Source organism: Homo sapiens, chromosome 2, assembly GCF_000001405.40.
Source record: "Homo sapiens chromosome 2, GRCh38.p14 Primary Assembly".
NCBI classification, from domain to species: domain Eukaryota; kingdom Metazoa; phylum Chordata; class Mammalia; order Primates; family Hominidae; genus Homo; species Homo sapiens.
In genome coordinates this window covers 30,261,020-30,270,448 of record NC_000002.12, presented here as the reverse complement: position 1 = coordinate 30,270,448, position 9,429 = coordinate 30,261,020, and the positions used below count along the sequence as shown (strand labels likewise).

The 9,429-nt window shown below is 46.2% G+C and overlaps 2 annotated features.

Moving 5' to 3' along the window:
- Window positions 3,230-3,844: an enhancer, noted in NCBI's record as "H3K27ac-H3K4me1 hESC enhancer chr2:30489471-30490085 (GRCh37/hg19 assembly coordinates)". NCBI's record gives its function as "activates a minimal SCP1, AML or CMV promoter by ChIP-STARR-seq in primed H9 embryonic stem cells {active_cell/tissue: H9 hESC(primed)}" and the evidence as "EXISTENCE:reporter gene assay evidence [ECO:0000049][PMID:30033119]".
- Window positions 3,845-4,459: an enhancer, noted in NCBI's record as "H3K27ac-H3K4me1 hESC enhancer chr2:30488856-30489470 (GRCh37/hg19 assembly coordinates)". NCBI's record gives its function as "activates a minimal SCP1, AML or CMV promoter by ChIP-STARR-seq in primed H9 embryonic stem cells {active_cell/tissue: H9 hESC(primed)}" and the evidence as "EXISTENCE:reporter gene assay evidence [ECO:0000049][PMID:30033119]".

Sequence of the window (9,429 nt, the reverse complement as noted above, 5' to 3'; positions counted from 1 at the left end):
GTTAGGGATTTCACTGGTCTGGGCTGAGGCTTGGGCACCGAGATTTTTCTAAAGTTCCCCAGTGATTTGAATGCACAGCGAGGATTGGGAACCACTCCTGTGTAGCTGTCTCAGGCCTAAGGGGCATCTGGCAGGGGGAGGAGCAGAAGAAATGGAGAATAGCAAAAACCTCCCAGCCAGGGCAAGCCAGCCCTGGTTTTTGTTCTAAGGGCACCTTTAAGATAAAAGGAAGGAGGTTGTCCTGGGATTCTGAGTTCTAATCTCAAATTTGCCTCCCCCAACTTGCTATGTGTCCCTGAGCCCAGTTAATGCTAGTCAAATAAGGAACAAGTCAACAAACTGTCCTCTGAGCCCTCAGTGTCCTCACTTAAACGTGAGGCTATTTATTTCCTCCAGCCCAAACATCCTGTTTCCCCTGCCTTTTCTGGCCCAATTCTGCTCCGTGATCCTGCTGAAGTGGAATCATTTGCAGCTTCCGTGGGATGCACTCGTAAGAGACATGGAGGCCTGCTTCCATTCACATGAAGTTCAGACTCAGCTATGTGATGAGGACAGAACAGTGGTCACCCTTTGGAGGAGTGGTTGACAGTGAGGGATACTAGGGAGCCTTCTGGGGTGTGACAGCGTTCTGTATCTTGACCTGGGTAGTGGTTTTATGGGTGTACAAATGTAAGCTGACCTAGTCCCCTACAATTGAGCACTTTCTGTAATTTATACTTCAATTATCAACAAAGAATGAGTAGTGCTCAACAGGCCCCCAGGAGAAAGCCAGGTCCTTAGAGTGTTACCGGGGGTCCTTGCTCCCAGATCTCCTAAGATGGTGGCAGGTGGCTTCCAAGATGGCGGTGAGCCACTTCCAAGATGGCAGCAAGCCTCGTGTTCTCTGACCTGGGGTTCTTGGCCTCATGGATTCCAAGGAATGGAATCTTGGGCCATGTGGTGAGTGTTATAGCTCTATTAGAAGTGGTGGGTCACGGAAGAAAACAATGGGACCCAGTGACTAGTGTTCAGCTCGATTAGGACAAACCTGGGCACTTAGCCGTGCAGGGACAATGGCAAGCCTTCAGCCCTATTGGGAGTGGCAGTGGGTTCCTTGCTGGATCAGGAGCACAGCGGACACCCTGCTAGATCCAGAGGGATGGAAGTCAGCGGCGGGTCTGCAACGGCGGCAAACAGCAGTGGTGGATGAAGTTCAGCTCGAGCCGTAACAAACACGGACCAGAAGAGTGTGCAGTTGCAAGATTTAATAGAGTGAAAACAGAGCTCCCATACAAGGGGAGGGGACCCAAAGAGGGTAGCCGTTGCTGGCTCGAATGCCTGGGTTTACATCCCAATCATTGTCCCTCCTGCTGTGCTCTCAGGCAATAGATGATTGGCTATTTCTTTACCTCCTGTTTTTGCCTAATTACCATTTTAGTGAGCTCTCTTTACTACCTGACTGGTCTGGTGTGAGCTAAGTTGCAAGCCCTGTGTCTAAAGGTGGATGTGGTCACCTTCCCAGCTAGGTTTAGGGATTCTTAGTCGGCCTAGGAAATCCAGCTAGTCCTATCTCTCAAGAGTACTGGGAGACAGGAGCTGAGGACATTGCTAAGCTTGGGAGCTAAAGCAGAAATTGGGTAGAAGGTGAGAGAGTGACAGCCAGAGAGAGACAGATGGGAACAGAAATGGAAACTCAGATAGAGAATGTGCTATGGGACTAACTTGACCCAAATTCCAGGCAGTTGAATTAGTCCTAGGTGAAAGGGGTGGAGTTTGGACAGCCTGTACCGGTTTGCCCTGGGACTTTCCCCCTTCTTAGCACTCAAATTTCTGTGTCCCATGAAACCTCTAGGCCAAGGTAAATGGGGACAGTTCATCCCCCTGCTCCCAGGCCCAGGGCTGTGGGTGGCATTTGGATTGCTGGGGAGGGAATGGAGCAGGCCTAGGGGAAGCTACTCCCACCCAGGGCCAACAAGCTGTTCCGGGGCAGCCCATGTCGGTGTAGGTGGATGGGCTGTCTCCTCTCTGGCCAGGGGTTGGCTGTGAATCCACCAAGGGTCTGAAACGAGGCAGTGGCCCCCTGTTTCTCCGCCCTCCAGATCCTACTCCAGCCCTCCCAGGCTTTCCCAGTCATGCCATCTGCCCATACAGTCTCTGCCTTCACAGCACCCATTAGGCTAGTGTGCAGTGTTTCTTTGCTTCTGGATATTTCTATCTGGCTTTGAGCTCTTTAGGGGTAAGAGTGAATTTTCCTTGGGGTTGCACACTACTGTAGCTCTACTCGGGGCTGGAGCATCATCTCCTCGGGCAATTTAATCTTAATCTTTTTTGGGCTGAGGATCTTTTTGGCAGCTTGAAGAAGTTTTAATTCCCTTCTCAGAATAATGCTTTAAATGCATAACATAAAATACAGAGAGTTGCAAAGAAAATAAAGTCTGCTGACATACAGCCATCAAAAAGAATTTTAGAAACACATTTGTAAAAAAAAAAAGAAAAAGTCAGAAATATCCTTCTTTATTAAAGCTTTACCTAATGAGATCCAGCAGCAGCTATAATTTTGAGGTAGCCATGGCTACAAATGATATTTCATGATACCTGCAACAAGTGTACTGTGAAAATGAAAATACTTGTGATTTTTTATTCGTGACAAATTGCAGGTGCTGCTGACACCACTGCGGTTTGTTGCCTGCATTCCTACAAACAGGAAATGCTGAATTTCACTTAGTAATTAACTAAAATATAGATGTAATTTTTGTCCCATCCAATGTCACATGCACCCCTAAATTCTAGGAACCCGAGGTTAAGAAATGCTGTGTAGGTGGATGGAAGATAAGAACTGAGCTTTGTAAACTGTCGAGTGGAAAGTCCTTGTGAATATTGTTCATTCTTGAGGGACGTGGGTGCTCTTAGGATAGGCAAGGGAGGTTGAGAACCAGGCTGAAACTAGATGATTAACCAGCAAACTGTGAGGTCAGAAGCAAACAGGGGACCCTAGTTCCTATGTGTCAGAGCTGGCTGCTAATCCTCAACACGCTTTGTTGTAGTCAAGTAAATGATAGAGTTGGATATTTGTCCCCGCCCAAATCCCATGTTGAAATGTAATCCCCAGTGTTGGAGGCGGGGCCTAGTGGGAGGTCACAGGGGCGGATCCCTAATGGCTTGGTGCTGTCCTCGCCATAGTGAGTGAGTTCCTGCAAGATCAGGTTAAGTGTGTGGCACCTCTCCCATCCCCTTGCTTTCTCTCGCTTCTCTTTCACCACGTGACGTGCAAGCTTCTGCTTTGCCTTCTGCCAAGAGTGAAAGCTCCCTGAGGCCTCCACAGAAGCCAAGCAGATATCAGCACCATGCCTGTACAGCCTGCAGAACCGTGAGCCAATTAAAATTTCGTTGCTTTATAAATTATCCAGTCTCAGGTATTTCTTTACAGCAATGCAAGAATGGCCTAATACGGTAACATCTGATGTAGCTCTGCCTTCCACACCCTTCACTGGTGTGTGGGAGCATGTACCAGCTGGCAGTGCTGGGGAACCATGGGGAGCCTGTGTCTTTGGTCTGGAGAGAAAGGTTTGGAGAACAGCGGGAAGTGCTTTTGGGTCAGCACAGGGCCTGGGGTCATAGCCTACCGTAGCCAAAGGAGAGGCTTGTAAGGCTGCTGGGGCTTTCTGCACAGGCCCTGCCTGGGACAATCCTTTGGGTAAGAACTGCTGGGGCCTTCTTTTAAGATGAGAGTCCCCCTGGGAGAGGTGGTGCATTCAGACCTGAAGGTCTTGGCATGAGTGATTTTTTAAATACCACCTTGTGCAAGAGATCGGGGGAGGAAAAACTCTGCAGGCAAGTGGCCCCATTGCTGGCGCCAGCCCAAGTGACCTTGGGCAGGAAAAGTGCCCTCTAATTAGCAATCAGGAAATCAAGGCACAGCATGGCGCCAGGCAGCATGACCCCAGCTGTAGCCTGGTGACACTGCAGCCCTCTAGACGGCATGCCCTTGCCCCTGCACGGTAGGGCTGGGACCCTGTGGGTTATTTTTTACCTGATGTCACTATTGTTGGTTGTCTGCTAGCTGCTGCAGTGGGTGCCAGCAGTGACAAACATGCAGTGAGGGTTTCCTGTGTAGCTTCCGCCTCCTTCCCCATGCACAGTTCCTCCCTCCTCCAGGGCTCGGCAGCGATTTGAAGGCTACCCAGAGCCTAATCCTGGCCTTGGAGGAGACCAAGGACATAGTGGCCTTCCCAGGCTTGTCCCCTACACACTGACCACACAGTCTCCACCCTTGGGTGTGCCAGCCCCATTTCCTCTGCAGAGAGATGTATTAAGCTACTTTTTCTAGTTGCCTCTCTCCCACTGCCATGACTCCACTAAGTAAAAGTACTGCTTTCTAGAAAGCCAGATTCCCCAGATCAGTGGCTCTCAAACTGTTTTGACTGTGACCCACAGAAAGAAAAATATTTTTTTTCATGACCAAGTACACACATTTATCCACATGTAGGGATGAAACAAAAAAAATTCAGGGAATAACATTTATTCTTCCTATATCTGCTGTACTCTGATTTTTCCTCTTCTATTGTCGTCTTTTCTATTTGTTTTCTTTCTTTTTTAAAAAATTCTGGTTGCAGCCCACAAATGGATTACTTTCACAACCCCATAATGAGTCATGATTTAGCTTGAAAAATACTGTGCCAGATAACTTTCCAGAATGATTTCTCTTTTCCAAATGGAGGACGGGCACTAGAGTTTATTGAGTCCCTGTGAATTAGGCACTGTCCTGGTTTTGAGTGATATCCATCTTCTTGAAAAGGAGACTGAGGCTCAGGCAGGCTGAGCCCATTTCCTTCTAGCATAGAAGTGGAGGATCAGGGATTCCAGAGGTGTGCTGCTGCAGGCTTGCACTGGCTCCCATCTCATCCAGTCCCACAAAATCAGCCATGGTGGGAGCATTTACACCATGGAAATTGGCAAACACTATGAATCAGGGCCTTTTTTTTTTTTTTTTTTTTTTTAAATCTCAGAGGGCTGGTTGTTACACATTTACCAGCACACCATTTGTTCTAATTCTACTGTTTTCCAAAGTCAGTATATTTTGAAGTCCTCTGACCTCAGCTTCCTCATCTGTAAAGTAACATTAAAAATGTCCATTTTGTAGGAAAAATTTATATTCATTGAGCCCATTCTGGTAAGTATGGGGGAACAATGACTGGAAGGAAACCAAAATGCAAATAACTGATATGTTACCATGATGGGATTTGAAAGATGAAGTCCCTAAATTTCACCATCTTTTATAATTTCCATCATTGCTAAATGTACTTTGTGCTAAATATACTTTTCATTATATATACGAAAACCCACACTTTGCAAGAAGTGTGATGAGAATTAGAAGAAATGGAGGTAAACCAGTGCTCTGCAATTGGCAGCCGCCAATAATAGAAAAGTGTGAATTCACAGTTTTCTGACTGAAAACGGCAAAGGAAATATTGCAAATGAATTGCATGTCAAAGTAGGACCTTTTATCCAGGTAAACAGAGAGAAGGGAGTAGTCTAATGAATATTCTGATTCAAGACTATACTGATGATCATATCACACACAAATCACTAATTTTTGAAATTCTAGAAGAAGGGATCTATAGCCTCAAATTTATCTAGTCCTAGGTCAGTCATGGCTCCCTCCGTCTGAGAGATACCTCTAGCTAGTGGCGCCAAGAGAAGACTGATCCTTAGGAAGCTGTGGGCTCCAACTGCTGGATGGTGGCTTTAGCCTGACTGCAACCCCTTCCATTCACTCCCTCATCCCTGTTCTCTGAGGCCATGCGGGAAAAGTCTATCATCATCATTATCACAGTTGTGATGATAAAGGCTGCATTTGCTTCCTATTGTAGCTGTTAGCAAATTACCACAAACCTAGTGGTTTACAACAAATTTATTATCTTACAGTTCTGGAGGTCAGAAGTCCAAAATAGCTGTTACTAGGATAAAATCAAAGTGTTGGCAGGGCTCCATTCCTCTGGAGGCTCTAGGGAGAATCATGGCCTTGCCTTTTGCCGTTTCTAGAGGTGCCCGCATTCCTTGACTGGCAGCCTCTTTCTCTGTCTTCAAAGCCAGCAGCATTTCATCTTCACATCTCTCTGACTCACTCTCCTGCCCCCTTCTTTCATTATGGGGACCTTTGTGATTAGATTGGGCTCAAATATAATCCAGGATCTCCCCAAGCCAAGGTCAGCTGATTGGCAAACTTCATTCCCCTTTGCCATGTAACATTACATATTCACAGTTCCTCAGATGAGGACATGGACATCTGTGGGGGTGGAAGACATTATTCTGTCTCCCACAATGGCTAACATTTCTTTCTTTTTTTTTTTTTTTTGAGATGGAGTCTCACTCTGTCGCCCAGGCTGGAGTGCAGTGGCATGATCTCGGCTCATTGCAAGCTCTGCCTCCCGGGTTCTCGCCATTCTCCTGCCTCAGCCTCCCGAGTAGCTGGGACTACAGGCACCTGCCACCCCGCCCGGCTAATTTTTTGTATTTTTAGTAGAGATGGGGTTTCACCGCGTTAGCCAGGATGGTCTCGATCTTCTGACCTCGTGATCCGCCCACCTCGGCCTCCCAAAGTGCTGAGATTACAGGCGTGAGCCACTGTGCCCAGCCAACATTTCTTTTTCTTTTCTTTTTTCTTTTTTTTTTGAGATGGAGTTTCATTCTTGTTGCCCAGGCTGGAGTGCAATGACACGATCTTGGCTCACCACAACCTCCGCCTCCCGGGTTCAAGTGATTCTCCTGCCTCAGCCTCCCGAGTAGCTGGGATTACAGGCATGCACCACCACACCTGGCTAATTTTGTATTTTTAGTAGAGATGGGGTTTCTCCATGTTGGTCAGGCTGGTCTGGAACTCCTGACCTCAGGTGATCCGCCCGGCTCAGCCTCTCAAAGTGCTGGGATTAGAGACTTGAGCCATCGTGGCCGGCCTCACAATGGTTAACATTTCTTGAGCACTTATTATGTGTCTAGCAAAGTTCCAAGCATGTTACTTGTAATATGCATTTAGGTGTCGCCACAACCCTATGAGTTAGGTACTCGTTGTACAAATGAGGAAAGTGAGGCATAGAAAAGAAAAGTAACTTGCTCAAGGTCACACAACTAGTAAGAGGAAGGGCTCAGCTACAGATCCAGGGGTCTGATCTCGGAGCCAATGCTCTTAGCGACAATCACCCTTCAGTAATTTAAGGACAGATGTACAGACTGAATTCTACCTAATCTAATCCTCCTCTGATGATCCAGAAGTCCTTTCCGGATGTGACAGTGCCTCAGGTCCCTCAACATCGATTGCCGTAGGCCACCAGTTGGGCAACTTTAAATGGGCTGACCAATGGATTTCAGGGGCTGGGATGCCTGGTGAGCCTGTGTCCTTCCCTGAAGGCTTCTCACAATGGGCACCAGTGATTCTGAAACTCACCTTCATGAGGACCCATGAGGCACTGCTCTGTGGTGTTTGCTCTCAGCTTTCTCTTTTTCTCTACTCCAGACATACTAGCTTCATAGACATTCCTCAAAAAGATGGAGACAATCTCTACCCCAGGGCCTTTGCACTTGCTGTCTCCTCACCTAGAATCTCTTCCCAGTCTAGTCAAAGCTCAACTGTCATTTCAAAGAGTTTTCTGCCCAAGGATCCTCTCTTTAAAGAGGAGTCAGGCAGAGGTATAGACCCTCTCTGATGAGAGACCTCCCTCTCTTCCCTCTCCAATCTTTGGTGGGCAGAGGCATTACAGTTCCCTTCTCCTTGCCTTTCCCCTCTCAAGGTGATGAAGAAAAGGAGGCAGACAGAAGGAGTTGAATCTTGTCTTCACTTTGAAGCTACCTTTGTATCTGGTGTCCACAAAGGACCCAAAGCAAAAAGCAGCAGAGAGAAGGCAGAGTTAGTTCCTTAGCAACTAGGCCCTCAAAAGAGAGACAGAAAATATCCTGACTTGTGGAACACCTACTGGGTGCTCAATCTGCACACCCCTATGCGGGAGTTATTAGTCTTATATCCATTTTACAGACAAGAACACTGAGGATCCTAGACATTAACAAAATGGCCCCACAGCACCTATGGAGGGGCTGCACAGGACTCGAATGCAAGTCAGCTCGAATAACACAGCAAAGTCAGCCAGGTGTCACCCAATCCTTCTCCTTCAGGGAAGAGGAGGCAACTTGGGGTGAAGCAGGAGGGTATTGAAGCAACTGGCTAACCATGAAAAAGAATAACGAAACTTTTTTCCAAACAAATAATTATTTTGTTTAAAAGTCACATGGAGGCAGTGGGAGACAGAAGTGAAGACTCATCTTTCATCACCAGGGGCTATTTTCCTATGGATATCCAATTGTTCCAGTACCACTTGTTGAAAAGACTTCCTTCCTCCACTGAGCTGCCTTGGCACCTTTGTCAAAAATCTATTAACCACACATCTGTGGGTCTATTTCTGGACTCTATTCTGTTCCACTGATCTATTTGTCAATCTTGATGCCAACACCACACTGTTTTGATGACTGTAGCTTTGTATTAAGTTTTTGAAACTGAGAACTGAGAGTCCTCCAACTTTAGTTTCCTTTTTCAAAGTTGTTTTGGCTAGTCTGGGTTCTTTCCATTTCCATAGGAGTTTCAGAATTAGATCATCAATGTCTACAAAACAGCTTGCTGAGGTTTTGATTGTGTTGAGTCTATAGATCAATTTGGAGAGAATTGACATTTTAACATTGAGTCTTCAGATCCATGAACATGGTAGAGCTTTCATTGATGTAGGGATTCTTCGATTTCTCTCAGCAGTGTTTTGCAGTTTTCATTGTTTTGGAGGTTTTGCATATTTTGCATCAGAGTTACTCCTAAATAGTTTATATTTTTTTATGTTAATGTAAATTGCATTTTAAATGTCAAGGTTCTGTTATTTTTTTTTTTTTTTTGAGTTCTGGGATACATGTGCAGAATGTGCAGGTCTGTTACATAGGTATACATGTGCCATGGTGGTTTGCTGCACCTGTCAACCCGTCATCTAGGTTTTAAGCCCTGCATGCATTAGGTATTTGTCCTAATGCTCTCCTTCCCCTTACCCCCCACCCCCCGACAGGCCCCAGTGTGTGATGTTCCCCTCCCTGTGTCCATGTGTTCTTTGTTCAACTCCCACTTATGAGTGAGAACATGCAGTGTTTGTTTTTTTTGTCGGTGTTACCAACATATAGAAATGCAGTCATTTTGAATATTGAGCTTTGATCCTGCAACCATGTTAAACTCATTTATTAGTTCTAGTAGCTTTTTTGTGTAGATTTCATAGGATTTCCTACACAGATGATGTCATCTGCAAATAAAGACAGTTTTCTGCAGGGGTGTGTTCAAGGAGGCTGCATTCTAATAAATTCCTCTTCAGGCTGCTGGAGAAAAATAAAGGGGCAATCCATATGAGGAGGGTAAAGTCCGGCCAGTTATCCTTG